At 50.9% G+C, this 21229-nt stretch overlaps 2 protein-coding genes across 4 annotated transcripts in view; both read right to left on the bottom strand.

Moving 5' to 3' along the window:
- The window catches only part of DHRSX (dehydrogenase/reductase X-linked), a 281471-nt gene extending 266897 nt beyond the window's left edge, over window positions 1-14574 (bottom strand). The window contains exon 1 of the mRNA NM_145177.3: window positions 14415-14574. Coding sequence (NP_660160.2) covers window positions 14415-14523 — 109 coding nt within the window. The 5' untranslated portion in view covers window positions 14524-14574. The remainder of the gene's footprint in view (window positions 1-14414) is intronic.
- On the bottom strand, window positions 33-14574 carry ZBED1 (zinc finger BED-type containing 1). 3 transcript variants are annotated; one of them, NM_004729.4, is made up of 2 exons: window positions 14415-14574; window positions 33-4367 (listed from the first exon to the last, which is right to left on the bottom strand). In NM_004729.4, the coding sequence occupies exon 2, from the start codon at window positions 4315-4317 to the stop codon at window positions 2233-2235; it is 2085 nt and encodes a 694-aa protein (NP_004720.1). In that variant the 5' UTR covers window positions 4318-4367; window positions 14415-14574; the 3' UTR covers window positions 33-2232. The 3 variants fall into 3 exon arrangements, with proteins under 3 accessions (NP_004720.1, NP_001164607.1, NP_001164606.1); NM_001171136.2 differs by having other exon boundaries at window positions 33-4370; NM_001171135.2 differs by lacking the exon at window positions 14415-14574 and adding an exon at window positions 13909-14223 and having other exon boundaries at window positions 33-4370.

Raw genomic sequence — 21229 nt, forward strand, 5'->3', positions numbered from 1 at the left:
GACACGCGGCAGACAAATGAATGAGGAGCTAATGCATTGCTCTGGTTTATTGAACAACAGTCCAACTTTACAGCATTAAATAAGGGGCAACCGTTCAGGAGGGGAACGATGGCTTAAAAATAAAAATGAAGACAGAGCCGGGACAGTTCACATTTCCACGTGAGTGAGGAAAAGCGAAGGATTGTTAGAGACGTGAAGAGAACGCTGGCAATGCTACAGAATGGAGCCCACGGAGGCGTGGGCTGCCCTGCGTCCCCGGCCTCGGGGCAGAACAGGGAGCAACCCCAAAGCCTGCCCCACTGTGTCCCTTCCAGCTGCCCTTCTGCCGAGAACACCCGGAGCTGAGGGTTCCAAGTTCACGGCGGAACCGCTTCCCTTAAAAAGAAAGCAAAGGTTACGTGGATTTCTCCCGTGCTTCCTTTTCCACAGACTTAAACCGGCTCAGGACGTAAGGATAACATTCTGTGCTGCTTGCAGCCCTGAGAAGTCAGCAGCCGTGAAAGGCAGGTAGTTCCTTTGCCCTCTGACACCCCGAGTTCTTGGGGTCTCGGCAGAACACTGCCTGGAGCTGAGTGGGGTCATCCCTCCTAGACACCGTTCTCCCCAGCCCAGCTTGTCTTCACGGAGGCAGAGAACCCGCTGCACGTAGAATCCAAGCAATATGCTAAGCCTCCTGAAGTATTTTTCCTCCAGTTAAAAAGCAGTTCTACATGTTGGAAAACGTCTTTCTGTTTCCCTGAATGACTGAAAGCAACTCGCAGGAATCCAGCCACGGAAAACCCCTCCGGGGGCAATATTTTAAAATTCATTTCCCCTATGGTATTCAGTTTAAAAGAGAAGAATCAAGAGTCCTTTCCGGTAATCAAATCAAAAACACCTTATGTGGAAAAGCTGGCCGCACGGGGGAACTGGACTTTTAGGGCTGAGACACCGAAGACATAACCTCCGGACCCGTGAGCCACCCACTTTTGTTTTGTTTTGAGACGGAGTCTCACTCTGGCCTCCAGGCTGGAGTGCAGTGGCGTAGTCTTGGCTCACTGCAACCTCCACCTCCTGGGCTCAAGCGAATCTTCCGCCTCAGCCTCCCGAGTAGCTGGGATTACAGGCGGGTGCCACCGCATCTGGCTAGTTTCTTGTATTTTTAGTAGACACGAGGTTTCACCATGTTGGTTGGCCAGGCTGGTCTCGAACTCCTGACCTCAGCGTGAGCCACCACGCCCGGCCACCGCCCAGTTTTAAGGACCAACTCCGCAAAGTGAAATTTCGGCAGGCAGCAGGAAGCAGGCTCTCTGGCAGCAACCTGTCGAAAATACAACACATTCCACACTTTTTTTTCTGTTTGCTTTTTGTTAAGTGTCTGCATTTTTGTACTCATCTGTCACATTTTTAACCGAACATTAAAAAAAAAGGTCTCTCTTTTTAAGAAGGGCATTTTGGCTAAAAGGTCTCTTCCCCATTTCTCAGAAGCAAGAGGTCCCTGCTTGCACGAGAATGTAAACATGAATTCAGTGATCTGGACCTCGCAGAAGTCACACATGATGATCGGGAAAGGCTCCTTCGACGCCACCCAGAATGTTCCTGCGTTTCTTCTAAACCCTCCCAGGGAGAACTCGAATCAGACATGGTGGAGGTCTTAAGTATCTGTGAAGGAAGGAACAGCTCCTCTAGGCTCTGCTGCACGCAATTCCCAAGCAGAAGCGTTGGCAGTTCCCAAGCAGAAGTCGTCCGGGCCCCGGGAATAGGGGAGGAAAGGAAACCCACTCAAAGCCACCTCTCTTGTGTCTTCTTTTTTCTTTTTGAGAGAGTCTCGCTCTTGTCGCCCAGGCTGGAGTGCAGCGATCTCAGCTTACTGCAACCTCCACCTCCCAGGTTCAAGCGATTCTCTGGCCTCAGCCTCCAGAAGCTGGGATTACAGGCACATGCCATCAGTCCTGGCTAATTTTTGTATTTTTAGTAGAGACGGGGTTTCGCCATGTTGGCCAGGCTGGTCTCGATCTCCTGACCTCAGCTGATCTGCCCACCTCGGCCTCCCAAAGTGCTGCGATTATAGACAGGAGCCACCGCCCCCGACCCTCTCTCACTTCTCAAATCTCTTTCCTTTTTCCACCTTCTAGGTGTCAAAGACAGTGGATGGTCTCTGAGGTTCAAAACCAAGCTGACCGGGTAAGTATTTACAGCAAAGCATCCAATGGGCTGCTGCGGGGATGACTTGTAAGACAACACGCTTCCTCGCTACAGGAAGCTGCTGTCCCTAATGCCAAAGAAACCGCCGCTGACGCCATCCCCCAAGGAGAACACCTGCTCCTGGTCCAGGCCCCACTCCCCCTCGTCCTGGTCCTCGGGTTCCGCCTCTGCCCCACTCCGGGCGTTCTCATACAGAAACACCTGCTCGTCCACGTGCGCGGGAGCCAGCCGGTTCCTCTTGGCGCTGACCACGTTGGCGGCGGATCCGAAGAGACGCTCAGGGGCGACGCGCGTGGCCGTCACGCACCAGTACTTCTGCAGCACCTTGGGCAGCAGGGGGAAGAGGGCCAGGCGGTCTGACCACCACTTGAGGGGGTCTTCGTTGAGGCCAAGCACCTTCTGGGACTTGAAGTTGCTCAGCTCCTCCACCACCTGGGCATGCCACTCTTCCTGGTCCTCCACGCCGCCTGTCTGGCAGAAGATCTCGGCCAGCATGTTGTTGATGACGCTGGCGGGCGGCGGCGTGGATGTCCGCATGAGCTTCTTGACGGGAGGCTCCTCGGGCACCGGGAAGATCTTGTCCTCAGCCGGCCGGTAGCCGCCGTCTTTGACCTTGTCCAGCAGGCCCTTGGCCTCTTCCACCACGCGATTCTCCACCTGCTGCCGCTCGAAGGCGGAGAGGAAGGGCAGCCTCTTGTAGCGGGGGTCCAGGAAGGTGGCCACGTTGAGAAACATGTCGATCTCGGGCGTCTCCTGGTAGGTCTTGGAAAGCTCCTTGGCGATGACCTCCTTGGCCATGCTGAGCTCCTTGGAGTCGGTCTCCTTGATGTTGAGCGTGGTGTTCAGGAGCATGTGCAGCAGCGGCTTCACCATGCTGATGGTGGGGTACCTGGAGGCCGACAGCATCTCGGCCACCTGCTTGAAGGGCTGCAGGAGCTCCACCAGCCCCTCGATGGTGGCCCACTCGCTGGCCTCCAGCATGAGGTGGTGGTTGTTGCTGTCCTCCACCAAGACCCCGGCGATGACGAACTGCTGCTCCTTGAGGCGCTGCAGCATGGCCAGCGTGCTCCCCCACCAGGAGACGCGGTTGCTCACCAGCATGCAGTGGGCCACGTTCTGCTGCTTCTGCTTCTCATAGAGCATGTACATGGCCACGGCAGACTGCTGGAAGTACTCCACCAGTTTGCGGCAGCGCGACAGCAGCGCCCCCAGCTTCGGGAGCTGGAAGGCCTGCTGGATGCCGGCATTGAAGGTGTGGCCCAGGCAGGGCATGTGCACTGCGACGTCCAGCAGGGAGCACGCCTTCACGATGTCCTTGCCATAGTTGGTGGTGGCCCCGAAGACCTTGGCGCTGATGCCCCACTCGATGAAGACCTCATAGAGCACTCGCGTGATGGTCTCCGCCGTGTTCTCTTCGGGCACCTCGAAGGTCTTCAGGCAGCGGGAGCCCATGGACAGGCAGTTGGGGGCGCCCAGGCCCAGGAAGTGGGCGGCCAGCGTGACGTAGGCGCGGTTCTGATTCTCACTCCTCCACATGTCGGTGGAGATGCCACACCAGGTGGCCTCGGCCAGCTCCTTCAGGATCACCTCCCGGACGGCCCCGTACTTCTCAGGGATGGCCTTGGTAGAGATGTACTTCCGGCTGGGCAGCTCATACCGGGGGTCGGCCGTCTTCAGCAGCACCTTGAAGGTGGGCTCGTCCACGATGGAGGCTGGGTACAGCCCCTCGCAGATGAGGCCCAGCACGGCGGCCGTCAGCTCCTGCTGCTTCTTGCTGTCGTAGCCGTGGCCGGCCTTGACGGCCAGCGCGTCCTGCCCGGGCTGCTGGGACGACTCGGGCTTCAGCTTGGAGAAGGCGGTGGCGAAGGCTTCACGCATCTGCTCCGTGTTGCTCTTGACGAACTCGCAGAATTCCTCGGGGTGGTTCTTCTCCAGGTGGTAGGACAGGTTGGAGGTGTTTCCGGAGTAGGCGATCTGGGCCATGCAGATGCGGCAGTAGATTTTCTTCCACTGCAGGATGCATCCCTCGGCGTTGGTGTCGAAGCCGAAATACTTCCACACCTTGCTCTTGGCGCGGGGGTGGGCCACCAGCTTCAGGTCTGTCTGGGAGCTCTCCAGGCTTTTATTCTCCATTGCTTCTCCACCGGAGCCTGCCTGCTGGACGGCTGCTCATGCGTGGGGACCTGCTGAGAAGGGCCAAGACAAACACAGCATGAGAAGGGACCCAGGCACGCACGGGAGCCCTGCCGGGGAGACAGACAGGGTGCCGGGGCAGCTCCGCTTTCAACCAAAGGGCACTGGGGCCGGACGGCTGGACCTTCCTTGCGGGTCACTTTTGCAGAGTGGAGGAGGGAACCTAGCGCAGGAATACGCTCTTTCTTCCACGTTAATCCGACTGCAGCGATGCCGCACGTGTCAACATACAGGTTTGCGAGTGAGCACGGCATTTTTGCAGGGCTGTACCTGACAAGTGCCTTTAGTTTTTTTTTTTTTTTTTTTTTGAGACAGAGTTTCGCTCTGTCACCCAGGCTGCAGTGCAATGGCGTGATCTCAGCTCACTGCAACCTCCGCCTCCCGGGTTCAAGCGATCTTCCTGCCTCAGCTTCCTCAGTAGCTGGGATCACAGGCACCTGCCATCACGCCTGGCTAATTTTTGTATTTTTAGTAGAGACAGGGTTTCACCATGTTGGTCAGGCTGGTCTCGAACTCCTGACTTCAGGTGATCCACCCGCCTTGGCCTCCCAAAGTGCTGGGATGACAGGCGTGAGTCACCGCGCCCAGCCTGACAATGCCTCTGTCATCGCAGGGGCTTGTTGTTCCTGTCCTAAGAGTTTCCCAAGCACCTGCCACGTGGGAAAGCTGCGTAGATCTTTTCTGGGGATGAAGCCTACATAGAAGAATCCACAAGTGGCCAGGCAGACCCCCCACTGCCAACCATCACAGCAGGACTCTCTGAATGCCACCTGAGCTTCATTCACTGCATTAAAGAAGCCAAACAGGACCTCCATCTGACTAAAGCCAGCTTTCCTATGGCTAAGAGGCACTGCACACTCTTCTCAAACTTTATGGTTTAAAATGAAGCCATGTGGAACGTCACAGGTGCATCCGTGATCTGTAAGCACGTCTGAAGAAGCATGGATTTCTCAATCCCTGGAACTTCTCAAAATGCCCATTGTGTCCAGTCACACCTGTGGGCAGAAAGGCCCAACTGGGCAAATATCACACACCTGTGCAAACATCAGGCAGTCGGTGTGGAGGCTTAGATGACCCAGAAGCCAGTCCCCAGGGTTCCTGTTGAGGTTGAATGCTCACACATACAGGCCCTTCCAGCTGCCACTCAGGAGGCCACCTCTGTGACTGGGTTGCCCAAAATGACAGCTGGGCTTTGTTAAAAGGTGTAATTGTGTCTCCAAGTGTCCAGTACAGTGCTCAGGAGGGTAAATATCAAAATGCACCACCCAGGCACGTTCAGAGTGTTGGGATACAGTCAGTGCAAGGAGGCATATTTCAATGATGACTATAGTGGGTTGAAAAGCGTCCTCCCCTACCAAAGAAAATCTGTATCCACCTGGTACTTGTGTATGGGACCTTGTTTGGAAAAAGGGTCTTTGCAGATGTATTAATAATGAAGGTAAGGATCTTTAGATGAGATTATTCTCAATTGAGGTGGTCCTAAATGCAGTGACCAGTGTCCTTAATAGAAGACAGATGAGGAGACACGGACACACAGGAGAAGACCACATGGAGACAGAGGCCGAGACTGGAGTGATGCGGCCACAAACCCAGAACGCCTGGAGCCCCCAGGAGCTGGGAGAGGCAGGAAGGATCCTCCTCTAGAGCCTCCACAATGAACTGGATAAAATCATGGTGGATTGAACAGTGGCCCGCAGAAAGATCTGTCCACAGCCTAAAGCCCAGGATGTGGAATGAGATCTTACTTGGTTATTAGAAATTTTGTAGATCTCATGAGTTAAGGATCTGGAGATGAGATCATCCGGGATTTGAGTGAGCCCTAAATGCAGTGACAGATGTCCTTATAAAAGACAGAAGAGGAGACACAGACACAGAGAAGGCCACATGGAGACAGAGGCAGAGACTAGAGTGATGATGTGGCTGGCCTGAAGCCCAGGGACGCCAGGAGCCCCCAGGAGCTGGGAGAGGCAGGAAGCACCCTCCGCGTAAGCCTCCGGAGGGAGCGCAGCCCTGAGACACTTTGATTACAGACTTCTGGCCTCCAGAACTGGGAGAGAATAAGCTATGGTTTTAAGCCCTCCGGTTTCTGGTACTTTATTAAAGCAAGGTATTCTGAAGGTTAATTTTGCCCGAAATAATGAGTGGAGGTCTTAGAAAGGCCCCCCGTCTTCACGGGCAGTCGCGGCCTGCGTTGCTGGCTTTCCGTCAACGGTGCCCGCCCAGTGCTTTTTAGGGAGACGCCGCCACGTGCCAGGTGAGCTGGGCATTGCCAGAGCCCAGCAGTGCCACTTCCCAAGACTGGGGTGCAAGGAGGGGGGTCCTGTGGCCAATGCCAGCACCCTGGTTTGTTCTAAGGTGCTGAGAGAATGAATAACATGACCGGGACTTCCACAAAACGAGGAACCCCCAAACTGCATCTTCTGCAGCCGAGTTAGGGTGGGGCCCCTGGATTACACAGTCAACGGAGGGGGAAAAGAATCTCAAGAGGCCTCCTAAGTCCGACCTGAGTGACAGGACACAGCTGTATCAGATCCTCCATCATCATCATCATCATATTATTATTTGGCTGAAACAGGTTTTGGTAATTGGGAGGAAAAGGTTTACATTCCATTATTATTATTTGTGCTATTGGGCTGAAAGAGGTCCCAGTCCTCAAACAAAAGTTTAAATTCTATTTATTATTATTATTATCATTATTATTATTATTATGTGGCTGAAAGCGGTTCTGGAACCTGAAGGAAAGGTTTCAATTCCATTATTATTATTATTTTTATTATTATGAAGATTAGGCTGGAAGAGGTCCCAGTACCAGTAACAAAGGTTTATATTCTAATTATTATTGTTACGGTTGTTATTATTATTAGGCTGAAAAAGGTCTCAGTACCTGTAGCAAAGATTTTTATGCTGGCACCAGGCACAGCGGCTCACGCCTGTACTCTCAGCACTTTGGGAGGCCAAGGTGGGTGGATCATCTGAGGTCAGGAGTTTGAGACCACCCTGGACAACATGGTGAAACCCCTCCTCTACTAAAAATACAAAATTAGCCGGGCGTGGTAGTGGCACATGCCTGTAGTCCCAGCTACTCGGGAGGCTGAGGCACGAGAATCGTTTGAACCCGGGAAGCAGAGGTTGCAGTGAGCCGAGATGGCGCCATTGCACTGTAGCCTGGGCAACAAGCGCAAAACTCCGTCTCAAAGAAAGAAGAAAACAAAAAAAAAGATATATATGCTATTATTACTATTGTTTTTAGGCTGGAAGAGGTCCCGATACCTGGAAGAAAAGTTTGTACTCGGTTATTATTATCTGTCTGAAAGAGGTCCTGAAAGCTGGAGCAAACATCCATATTCTATTATTATTATTATTATTGTGATTGTTTGACTGAAAGAAGTCCCAGTGCCTGGGGCCAAGGTTTATATTCTATTATCATTGCTGTTATTATTATTTGGCTGAAACAGGTCCTGGTACCTGTAGCAAAGGCTTATATTATTACATTATTATTATTATTAGGCTGGAAGAGGTCTCGACACCTGGAACAAAAATTTTCATTCTATCATTATTATTATTATTAGGCTGAAAGAGGTTCTAGAACCTGGAGCAAAGGTTTTTATTCTATTATTATTACTTTTGTTATTAGGCTGAAAGAGGTCCCAGTAACAGAACAAAAGTTTATATTCTATTTTATTACTATTTGGCTGAGAAAGGTGCCAGGACCTGTAGTAAAGGTTTATATTCTATGATTATTATTAGGCTGAAAGAAGTCCGGGTACCTGGAACAAAAGTTTATATTTTATTATTATTATTTAGCTGAAAAAGGTTCTGGCACTTCAGTCAAAGGTTTATGTTCTATTATTATCATTATTATTATTATTTGGCTCACAGGTGTCCCAGTACCTGGACCAAAGGTCTGTTTTCTATTAATACTATTCTTATTATTACTATTTGGCTGAAAAAAGGTTCTGGTACCTAGAGCCAAGTTTTATATTCCACTATTATTATTTGGTTGAAAGAGGTCCCAGTACCTAGAAGAAAAGTTTATATTCTATTATCATTATAATTATTATTACTGTCATTATTGTTGGTCTGAAAGAGGTCCTGGTACTGTGAACAAAGGTTTATATTCTATTATTATTCTTATTTGGCTGAAAGAGCTCCCAGGACCTGGAGCAAAGGTTTATATTCTATCATTATTATCATTATTACTACTGTTATTATTATTACTGGGCTGAAAGAGGTCACAGTACCCTGAACAAAGGTTTATATTCTATTGTCATTATTATTATTATTGTTATTATTTGGCTGAAAGACGTTCCAGGAGATGAAGCAAAGGTTTATATTCTATCATTATTATCATTATTACTATTATTATTATTATTACTGGGCTGAAAGAAGTCACAGTACCCTGAACAAAGGTTTATATTCTATTATCATTAATATTATTATTATTATTTGGCTGAAAGACGTTCCAGGACGTGAAGCAAAGGTTTATATTTTATCATTATTATCATTATTCCTATTGTTGTTATTATTATTGGGCTGAAAGACGCCCCAGTACCATGAACAAAGGTTTATATTCTATTATTATTAATATTATTGTTATTATTTAGGTGAACAAAGGTTTCTATTCTATTATGATGATCATCATTTGGCTGAAACAGGTCTAGTACCTGGAGTGAAGTTTTGTACTAAGAGCCAAAATTCCCAAACCCCTAACCAAGTGACTCCTGGAAGGAGAAACAAGAAGCTCCCTCCCACGTCTCCTGCTGTCAGAATTCCATGGGATTCCCAGGTAAAGAACCGTCCACACAGTAGGTGGGTTCCACCTGAACCCACGTAACAGCCACAGCAGAGCTGACCTTCTGCAGTGAGTACCCTCCTTCCTCCTTCCTCCTCCCTTGCAGCGCTTCCGAGCACACAAGGCCACGAATAAAGGTTGCTGTAAACCAGCCTCTCACTGCCTCATTCTTCAAGACTGGTGCAGCATCCCCAGTGCGGGGGGAGGGGGGTTTGGGGGGGACACTCCCCAAAACGCTCTCAGGGGGCCGGCGATTTCACGTTTCCAATTGCACATCCATGAGAGGCCAGTGGATGTGCCTCACATGACTCTTACCAGAACGACACGTCGCAAGAGACCAGTGTGAAGAAGCAGAGGAAGGAGCCAGCCGCCATCCGTCCCTTTATGGATGAGACTGACAAAACCCTAAAACTCAGCCACTCTTCTCCCTAGGTTTTTGTTATTTTGGAAATGACAATCATTTTTCTTTTAAAAAACATACAGCACATGGCCAAAGGGTACCAAGTTTCTGTTCGACAGGAGGAATCCGTTTCAGTGACCTACTGCACAGCGTGGTGGCGATAGTTAATAGTGTATTACATATTTCAAAATAGCTAAAAGAGGTTTTTATTTTTGTTTTTGTTTTTTTGTTTTTTTGGTTTTTTTGAGACGGAGTCTCGCCCTGTTGCCCAGGCTTGAGTGCAGTGGCGCAATCTTGGCTGACTGCAACCTCCACCTCCCAGGTTCACACCATTCTCCTGCCTCAGCCTCCCAAGTAGCTGGGACTACAGGCGCACACTGCCACACCCAGCTAATTTTTTGTATTTTAGTAGAGATGGGGTTCCACTGTATTGCCCAGACTGGTCTCAAACTCCTGAGCTCAGGCAATCCACCCGCCTCAGCCTCCCAAAGTGCTGGGATTATAGGCATGAGCCACCGCACCCGGCCCGCCAATAGAGATTTTAAATGTCTTGCGTGCAGTGTATACTGCTTGGGTGATGGGTGCACCAGAATCTCACAAATCACCACTAAAAAACTTACTCATGGAATCAAACACCACCTGTTCCCCAATAACCTATGGAAATAAAAAACAAAAATAGCTAAAAGAGATTTTAAATGTTCCCACCGCAAAGGAAAAATAGCGGGTGATAGATATTAGTTTAATTATTCCACAATGCAAACATACAGCAAAGCATCACACTGTGCCCCATAAGTGTACACATTTATATATTTATATAAAAATATCAATTGTTTTTATTTACATCTAAATTATATAAATATAACTTATTTGTATTTTATATTTATAGAAAAGTATAAATTATTCTAAAAATATATATATTTAATAAAAATAAAATATAAAAACAATAAATATATTACATACATTTTTGTATGTAACATGTAATTGGCCTGTTACCATTACTTTTAAATAGATTGTTAAATATGTTTTAAATTTCTGTTTTAATGTCTAACAGGATGACTTATTGACTGTTATAATCCACAAAAACAAAAACTGTCTGGGGTCCTCATTTTTTTTGAAAGAGATTCTATGATCAAGGAATTGGAGGCCGGGGGCAGGGGCTCACCCCTGTAATCCCAGCAATTTGGGATGCCAAGGTGGACTATCACCTGAGGTCAGGAGTTTGAGACCAGCCTGACCAACATGGAGAAACCCCATCTCACTAAAAATACAAAATGAGCCAGGCATGGTGGCACATGCCTGTAATCCCAGCTACTCGGGAGGCTGAGGCAGGAGAATCGCTTGAACCCGGGAGGCAGAGGTTGTGGTGAGCTGAGATCACGCCATTGCACTCCAGCCTGGGAAACAAAAGCGAAACTTGGTCTCAAGAAAAAGAAGAAGAAGTTGGAAAACTGCTGTTTTTACTTCTACCTGATTTCTAATAGCCACTGTTCACTACTCATAAAACCAACAAGAATTAACTTTCCCTTTACAGGTTAAAAAAAAAATAGTTTGAAAAGTAGGACTTCTATAAATAGCTTTGTAAGTGGGCCAGTTGGCATATTTTTTGTAAATACTCACTCCTGTGGTACAGCATTTACGAATCCATTTTGCATCCCAGAAAGTGAAGGAATATTCTGTGGCCTATTATTTACAATAGAACTTTTAAGAAAAATTCTGTGGCAGTATTGGAACTGGACTTGACTACAGGTACCATCAATTTTCTCTCCTTTGCAAAACTCATTGATGTATCAGAGAAAATGTAATTTCTAAACAGATCACCCTGTTATTAATACCGGTGGGTAGAGACTTTCTTTACTCAATATGATCATTTTCAACAGATTTCAGGCCATATCAATGTTCAAGTTTTGATGCCATATTAGGATATTAAATGCACTGATTAAATCATCTATTTTAAAATCCAACCAACAGATACAACTTACTGAATGGGCCGCATGGATATAGTCTTAAGAACACAGAGACAGACCCTCTTATGGGAATTCTCAATTTGCTTCTAAACCCCCTCTGTAAAGGCATGACCAACATCTATGATTAATTTGTAATTATCTTGTTTTTCCATGATGAACTGTAAGAAGACACCATTTAGGAGTGGATTCCAGCCACAATTTCTTCCTTCTCATACCATGTAAGTCAACTCATGTGGAAGGTGTAACCCAGGCATTTCCTTTGTACGATACCTAAGAAGAACACGCTCCATTTGGAAGTTCTAAGAAAAAACTGCCCTTGCTTCCAATCTGCAGTGGGGAAATTGGCCCTCTTGGTTATTCAAACAGCTTAGCTCAAATGCCCTGGACAAAGTTCAATGTTTCCTCACCAACAGCGAAGGCCTACCAGAGAGAAGCAAATAAAAAATGCCGTTTAGGAAGCTGGCCACCAGCAGACCAAGGACAACAGCATTCCTCCACTGGTATCGAAAATTATTTTTAATCCATACATAGGAAGGGGCTCGATGAGGGCAAGCCACTTAAGTTAATCTTTAGAGAAGGCCATTCTGTTTCGATACACACCCGGGTACAGATTCCCTTGGCAGACACGTGACTTCACCAGAAGCTCGTCCTCTTTAACAACCTTCTGTTGTTGTTTAATCAGTAAATGGGAAAAAAAAAAAAAAAAAAGATTCCAGCCCTTTTTCTAATGCACAAAGAGCAAGTTTTTCAAAGGCCAGCATTTTGGTGAGCTGCTGCAGGAACCCCGGCCTCTTCTGCCAGGGCCCACACAGGCCCTTAAGGAGGTTTAAGGGGACCTTTCTGTAAGCAAAACTGCCCGGATAAACATAATCTTCTGCGAGACTCCACACAATTGTTCAGCAGCTGTAAACCGTTCACCTTGCAACTGATTACTTACTTCAAACAAACATGCTCTCCTGCCCTCCGAAAGCCTGACTACAGTTCCCTTTACTCTCCTTCTTCTATGCATTTGTAATTATGCTAAGTGGGTTTAAAAAAAAATACTGAAGGCCAGTTTGGCAGAAAAAGAAAAGCTTAGCTCACAGAAAACTCAAAGCTCTTTTTCTCTGGCTAGAGGCGGGAGAGAGAGGCTCATTTTAAAACATCCACTCCAGGCACGCTTCTCAAAGGGTGGCGCTGGGACCCCTGGGATTCCTTCAGTGGGTGCAGAGTGGAAGTCAAAAGTCATTTCACAATAAGGCACCCAAGCGCTTCGCCTGGCTGACTCCCAGTCTCCCAGAGGCGTGCAGTAGTGTCTTCCAGAGGCCTCCTGACATGCCATGAAACTGTCTACAGAGGCAGAAATAACAGCTCTCTTCTTAGGCTGGACATTTAAGACATTCAGGGCAACGTACACCCCCACCCCCACCACACTGACCCTCTGAACGCTCTGTTTTGGAAAACTGTTATTTTTGAAACAAAGTATCATTTAACCTAACATGGAATTAACATTCCCTTTATTCCAGTTCACAAATAATTGTTTACAGGTTTCTAGGTTTAAATTGAGAATATGGGCTGGGCACAGTGGCGCTCTGTCTGTAATCCCAGCAGTTTGGGAGGCCCAGACTGGAGGATTGCTGCAGGCCAGGGGTTCAAGACCAGCCTGGGCAACATGGTGAGATGCCATCTCTACAAAAAATTTAAAACATTAGCCAGGCGTGGTGGCTCACGCCTGTAAACCCAGCACTTTGGGGGACCCAGGTAGGAGGATTGCTTCGGCCCATGAGTTTCAGACCAGCCTGGGCAACGTAGCAAGACCCTATTGCTACACAAAAAAATTAAAACATTAGACAGGTGTGGTGGCTCACACCTGTAATCCCAACAGTTTGGGAGGCAAAGGAAGGAAGATCGCTTGAGCCCAGGAGTTCGAGACCAGCCTGAGCAACATAGCAAGACCCCGTCTACAAAACTTTAAAACATTAGTCGGATGCAGTAGCTGGTGCCTGTAATGCCAGCACTTTGGGAGGCTGAGGCAGGAGGACTGCTTGAGCCCAGGAGTTCGAGAGTAGCCTCGGCAACAGAGCAAGACTTCATCTCTACTTCCTATTACAAAAAATAATAATAATAATAAATTCTGAACCTGCAAATCTAGGAACAGAAGTTATCTGCATACACAAAACACAGTGGCGGTCATCACTGATGAGTTCAGACAGTGAACGAGTCCTGCAAAGTTGGAGATCTGTGACTCAGAGATGTTTACAAAGGCCAAGGAAACAAAGTTGCCACTTAACGGGCCTGCCCTCCCCACCAGACCTCCGTGGCTCCCCAGTGCCCGAGAAGCCGCCTCTGGGCCCCCTCTGGAGACGTCCTCCGGAGAAGGGCCCATCCTCACTTACCCTGGGGTGGGTAGGGGTCGAGGTCCCTGGGACGCCCGCTCCTCCCCTCCGGGGCCTGGCGGGGGCGCGCGGTCACTGGCCGACCGCAGGCGGCAGGCAGAGCCGCCTGATGTCTTGGGCGCGGGGCGTGCGAGCCCCCGGGTCCCCGGCCATGGCCCGGAGGTGTCAGGGTGCGCGGGGGGGCGGCTGCACGGGGGCTGCTTGGTTGGAGCCCGACCCGGGACAGGCGGGGAGGCCACACGCGCGGGGAGGGAAGGGTCGGGCCGGGTCGGGCCGGGCCAGGCGCGCAGAAGAGCCGGCGGGGACGGAAAGCGCGGGGCGGGGAGGTCCCAGCGCGCACGCCGCCCCCCCCCCACCCCCGGCCACACCTCGACCCCCGCCCAGCCCCACTTCCGGGAGCGCCACCGCCTCGCCAAGGTCACGCGGAGCCCCCGCGCCCCCGCCCCCGAGCCAGCCCGCGCCCACCCGGGTCCCCGGAGCCCTGACCCCTGCCCCGCCCCGCTGACCTGGCTCCAGGAAGCCCCCGCGGCAGCGCCGCAGCAGCTGCGCCAGGATCACCGCGGCGCCTACCGCGTAGACCCGCAGGGCCGCCCGCGCCGCAGACAATGGCGACATGGCTGCCCCGGCCGCGCCGCCGCCGCTTCCGCGCCGCCCGCGGGACTCTGCGCCCGCCCGCCCGGACGGACGGCGGAAACGCGCGCGCCCCGGACCGCCCCCTGCCCGCCCCGAACCGCCCCGGCCTGCGGGGAACCCCCAACCCCAGACCCCGCCCGGGCCCTCTGGGATCCCGCACCGCCTGCAGGACTGGGGACCCCGAGCGGACAACCGACCCCAGCCAGGACACCCCCCCCAGGACCACAGACTCCAGCCAGGAACCCCCCCCTGCAAGGACCATAGACTTCAGCCAGGACCCCCCCCCCCAGGACCACAGACCCCAGCCAGGACGCCCCCAGGACCACTGACCCCAGTCAGGACCCCCCCTTCAGGACCACAGACCCCAGCAGGGACCCCCCACACACACCCCCAGCCAGGACCACAGACCCCAGCCAGGAATCCCCCCCAGGACCACAGACCCCAGCAGGGACCCTCCACACCTCCTCCAGGACCACAGACCCCAGCAGGGACCCTTCCCCCTCCCGGCAGGACTGCAGACCCCAGCAGGGATCCCCACCACCACAAGACCAACAGCCCCAGCCAGGACGCCCCCAGGACTACAGACCCCAGCCAGCACCCAAGTCAGATCCATAGACTCCTCCCAAGAACACCCCCCAGGACCCCAGACCCCTGCTGGGACCCCCAAGACCACAGGCCCCCCCACTGGGGCACGCCCAGACACCCCACCAAGAACCCCACCAGGACTACAGACCTCCACCAGGACTCCCCAGTACCACAGATCCTCCCAGGGCCCCCCAGGACCACAGACCTCCACTGGGACCCCCACCACCAGGACCCCTCTCCAGGATCACAGACCCCTACTGGGGCCCCCTTCTAGGACCTCCACCTCCATCACAACCACCCCCCGGACCACAGGCCCCAGCCAGCACCCCACAAGACCACAGACCCCTGCCAGGACGCCCCCCAGGACTACAGACCCCAGCTGGACTGCCTCTCCAAGACCCCACACTCCAGCCAAGACCATGGAACCCCATTCAAGCCCCAGCCAGGACCCCCACCATGGGATCACAGATCCCCTACCCAGACCCTGCAGGGGACCAGGACCACCACGGGAACCACCCTCCCCATCTTAGCCAGAATCATGTAACCCCACGCAGACCTCAGCAGGGACCACAAGGACTTGGACCCCATAGGGAACCCCAGACAACCACCCAGAGCCATGCCAGGATTATGGACCAGGACTCCCACAGAGGACTCTGAACAGCTGTAAGGACCATGGACCCCACACCCTAATTCGTACTGACACCACAGAACCTGCCCCAAGCACGGACCCCACACCCCAGTTCCTGCTGACACCACAGAACCTGCCCCAAGCACGGACCCCACACCCCAGTTCCTACTGAGACCACAGACCCCACCCCAATTCCTGCCAGGCCACAGACACCACCCACCAAACCTACCCCTCCACTTCCCTGCCCCCAACAACCCTGCAGGGATCACAGACCCCCTTCCCGGCCCCTGCAGAGAACTCCAGACTACTTCAGGGACCACGAGCCCCCTCCCCACCCTGATCCCTACTGGGACAGCAGACCCCTACTCAGACCTTGGTTGGGAACCCCAGACAACCACAGAGTTACCTGGGCTCCCTCAGGGAACCCCAGACCAGCACAGAACCCCCACCCAGACCCTTACCAGGGCCAAGGCTGAAATCCCACATGGACCCCCCAGCAGACTCCTACTGGAATTCTTCATGGAACCCCCCACCCAGACACTCAGACCTTCACCCCACCACAACCCTCCCAGTCCCACACCTGGTCCCCCAGGGGACCCCAGACCTGGCATCCGGGACTCCACACAGATCCTAACACCCGCTGTGTTTGGGAGACAGGAGCCTGGGAGAGCTGGGGTGACACCATTTTAATCATCAACTCCATCTTAAAAACCAGGAAGACACATTCCTTGCCGGTCACGGCCCATGGTCATAAGATGTTTACGGCTGAAGAAATGACTTAATAATGCCTCCAAGGACAAACACAGACGACAGCGGAATGTCTGGATGTCGCCATATCGCGTAACCACATATGCTGTTAAAGATAATTACAGTCATGCATGGACGTGCTTGGGCGCGAAAATGCAAAGGATGGCTCTCTCTAAATCAACTAAGGAATAAATGTCACGCCGTCAGACATAACCTAGCTTTTACATAGATAAGACAGACCCCTATAGAAGGAAGCTTTAAAACAAACACAAGGTGTTACACCTCTATGACAAAACAGTTTCTTTTTTTTTCTTTCTTTCTTTTTCTTTTTTTTTTTTTTTGAGACAGAGTCTGGCTCTGTGGCCTAGGCTGGAGTGCAGTGGCGCAACCTCAGCTCACTGCAACCTCCACCTCCCAGATTCAAGAGAGTCTCCTCTCTCAGCCTCCCTGGTAGCTGGGATTACAGGCATGCACCAGCACACCCAAATAATTTTCGTATTTTTAATAGAGATGGGATTTCACCATGTTGGCCTGGCTGGTCTCAAACTCCTGACCTCAGGTAATCTGCCCACCTCGGCCGCCCAAAGTGCTGGGATTACAGGTATGAGCCACCACACCCAGCATGTAATGGAATAGTTTCTAATAAACTAAAACTTCCCTGTACTCTTATGACTTACCTTGAATTACTTCTTGAGCAATATCCAAGAACCCACTCTTGGGGGCTAGATCGGGACCCCTCTCCTGCAACACTGGGACCCTAAATCACCAACCCTATCATCCCCAGGACCCAGACCTCCACCTTCACTCTAGGTCTGCACCCTCATACACGTGCCGATGGGCACCCCCCAGCCCCTGCCGAGGTCCAGGAGTGAGAATCTCCACCAGCAAGTCACCTGACCCTAGCCAGGAACTCTATCCCTGCTGGGAGCCAGAACCCCACACTCCACATCTCACTGGGACCCTGGCACCTTGCAGGGCCACAACCTATCTGGAACTTTGGCCCCCATTGGGATGCATCCCCACTCCCATAGGAATTGAACCCTCCAGGCCTCACTCCCCACAGAACCTCAACAGGCACTAAGGGGCACCCCCAGTGTGCAGGTTGCACCCAGCCACTGGGTGGGCTCTGGTGCAGATCTAAGATGATTGGAATACAGAGACCTACCCGGCGACCTCAGGTGTGGCCAGGTGACCAAGCTGGGTTAAGAAGGGTCTTTGTGGCCTTTGCAACCCTCTGTCCTACAGATGAGGAAACTGAGGCCAGGAAGACCAAGGGATGGGGCTGTCCCATTTGGCCAAGTGTGCCAGGTATCTTCACATGTGCCCAAGTATGCTCAGGTGTCGCCAGGTATGCTCAGGTGTGATTCAGTAACCAGGTTGGATTAAGAAGGCTCCTTGTGGGCCAGGTGCAGCGCCTCACGCGCACAATCCCAGCACTTTGGGAGGCTGAGAAGGGTGGATTGCTTGAGCCCAGGCGTTCGAGACCTGCCTGGGCAACATAACAAAACCTGTCTTTATTATTTTTATATAAAAAAATTAAATTAAAAAAGAGGGCTTCTCCAGGCACAGTGACTCACGCCTGTAATCCCAGCACTTTGGGGGGCCAAGGCGGGCAGATCACCTGAGGTCGGGAGTTCGAGACCAGCCTGGCCAACATGGAGAAACTCTGTCTCTACTAAAAATACAAAATTAGCTGGAAATAATGGCGCATGCCTGTAATCCCAGCTACTCAGGAGGCTGAGGCAGGAGAATTGCTTGAACCCAGGAGGCGGAGGTTGCAGTGAGCCGAGATTGCTCCATTGCACTCTAGCCTGGGCAACAAGAGGGAAACTCCATCTCAAAAAAAAAAAAAGGTTATTCCAGCCTTTGCAACCTTCTGTCCTACAGATGAGAAAACTGAAGCTTTCTCGTTTGGCCATGTGTCCAGATATCCTGAGGCGTGCCCAGGTATCCTCAGGTGTGACCAGGTATGCCTAGGTGTGGCCAGGGCACCCAGCCAGAAGCATTGGGAAAATCCACAGTCACCCCTGTCCCCACCTTAAAGTTTTCCCAGGAGAGCTGCCGTTGCATGGGGTGTGAAACCGTGACCCCACTGCCAAATTCAGAAGGACCAAGGATTCCACCAGGAGCAGCAGGGGAGTGGGCTTATTGTAGCCCGACATGCTCCTCCCTTTGGGGACTTCTGGTAGTTATCTAAAAGGATGTTTGTGAGCAAAAGGATAGTGACGTCTAGAGCCATGAATTGGGGGGCTAAAAGCAGAATGCATCACCTGGTGCTTCCAGCAATGGTTTGGGAGACACCCCTACCTTCCCCACAACCCACTTATCTTCTCAGAGGCTCATTTCATCATCTGTCATATATTGACTTTGATTTCCATGTGAATGTTTTTAGCCACTGCTGTAATAAATGGCCACGAATGTAGCAGCTTTAAACAACACAAAGTTATTATCTCAAGTCTGCAGGTAAGATGTCCCAAAAACGGGCTCAACCGGGTCACTTGCTCAAGGTCACTGATATGGTTTCGCTGTGTCCCCTCCCAAATCTCATCTTGAATTGTAGCTCCCATAATTCTCATGTGTTGTGGGAGGGACCCAGTGGGAGATAACTGAGTCATGGGGGCGGTTTCTCGCACACTGTTCTCATGGCAGTGAATAAGTCTCATGAGATCTGATGGGGTTTTTTTTTATTTGTTATTTTTGTTTTGTTTTGTTTTGTTTTGAGACAGAGTTTCACTCTTGTTGCCCAGGCTGGAGTGCAATGGCAGGATCTCGGCTCACTGCAACCTCTGCCCCCCGGTTCAAGAGATTCTCCTGCATCAGCCTTGCGAGTAGCTGGGATTACAGGCTTGTGCCACCATGCCTGGCTAATTTTTTGTATTTTTAGTAGAGATGGGGTTTCACCATGTTGGCCAGGCTGGTCTCGAACTCCTGACCTCAGCTGATCCACCCACCTTGGCCTCCCAAAGTGCTAGGATTACAGGCGTGAGCCACCGTGCCCAGCAATCTGATGGTTTTATAAGGGGAAATCCCTTTCGCTTGGCTCTCTCTGTCTTGTCTGCAGCCATATAAAACGTGCTTTTCACCTTCTGCCATGATCGTGAGGCCTCCCCAGTCACATGGAGCTGTGAGTCCATTAAAGGTCTTTTTTTTTTCTGAGATGGAGTTTTCGCTCTTGTTGCCAAGGCTGGAGTGCAATAGCATGATCTCAGCTCACTGCAGCCTCTACCTCCCAGGTTCAAGCAATTCTCCTGCCTCAGCCTCCGGAGTAGCTGGGATTACAGGTGCCCACCACCACGCCTGGCTAATTTTTGTATTTTTAGTAGAGACAGGTTTTCACCATGTTGGCCATGCTGGTCTCAGACTCCTGGCCTCAGGTAATCCACCCGCCTTGGCTTTAACCTTTTTTTCTTTATAAATTACCCAGTCTCAGGTATGTCTTTATCAGCAGCGTGAAAATGGACTAATACAGTCACAAAAGGTCAAAATGACGATGTCTACCCCCTGGGCTCTTCGCAGGAGGCCCTGGAAAGAATTGGTTTGCAAGCTTATTCCCATTTTTAGAAAATTCAGTCTCTTGTTGTCATGGGACTGAAGTCATCCTTTCCTCACTGATTGTCATAGAAGGGGTGTGGGGAGCACAACCCTGAGCTCTTAGAGTCCTCTCTCTGGTCCTTGAAAGTGTCTGCTCCATCTGTAAGCCAGCTCTGCTTCATCTTGAAACCAGCAGGGGCCACTTAGAGTCCAGTTCACCATTAGAATCTCACTGACTTTGTGTGCCATGTCCCTCACCTTCTCTCCTCCCTCCAGCCAGAGAAAGTTCTGTTCTTTCAAGGGCTCCCATGTGATCAGATAGGGCCCACCAAGGAAATCCAGCATACTCTTCCTATTTAAAGGTTCACGCCTGTCATCTCAGCACTTTGGGAGGCCGAGGCAGGCAGATCACCTGAGGCCAAGAGTTCGAGACCAGCCTGGCCAACATGGTGAAACCATGTCTCTACTAATAATACAAAAATCGGCTGGGCGTGGTGGTGGGTGCCTGTAATCCCAACTACTCGGGAGGCTGAGGCAGGAGAATCACTTGAACATGGGAGGCGGAGGTTGCAGTGAGCCAAGCTGGAGCCACTGCACTTCAGCCTGGACAACAGAGCAAGAGTCCATCTCAAATAAATAAATAAATAAATAAATAAATAAATAGTTTATAACCTCAATTGCACCTGCAGTGTTCCTTGGTGCCATATATGACATTACCATAGTGACAGGTTCCGGGAGATTCAGGTGTGGAAGACTTTGGGAAGGACAGGAGATTATTCAGCCTACAGTAGCGTGGTTTACAAATTCCTGTCTATTTCAGGATTTCATAAGCAGGTTTGAAATTGCATTCACCTAAACCGGAACAGGCCAGGACAGCAGGGGCAGGAGATGCTCCCTGGAGGAGCTTACATGAAGGACACCCCTACTGGAAGAGAGAGAAGGATATTGCAGGGTGGGGGCCCTGTCCTTAGGACTTCTGGTTGACCCAGGGCCAACTTCCCCATCACGCATCCTAAGCTGAGTGTGAGGATCTCATGAAACTCTTCAGGGTCCATAACAATGCTTTAAGTTAATGTGTCTCAAATCAGAAAAAATATATATAATAATGAATATAAATCATGCACACAGTCCAGAAAATATGTCTTTTTATCAACACAGTTGTAAGATTTATGAGGTCATAGGCCGGAAGCAGTGGCT

This window comes from Homo sapiens, chromosome Y, assembly GCF_000001405.40.
Source record: "Homo sapiens chromosome Y, GRCh38.p14 Primary Assembly".
Lineage (NCBI taxonomy): Eukaryota > Metazoa > Chordata > Mammalia > Primates > Hominidae > Homo > Homo sapiens.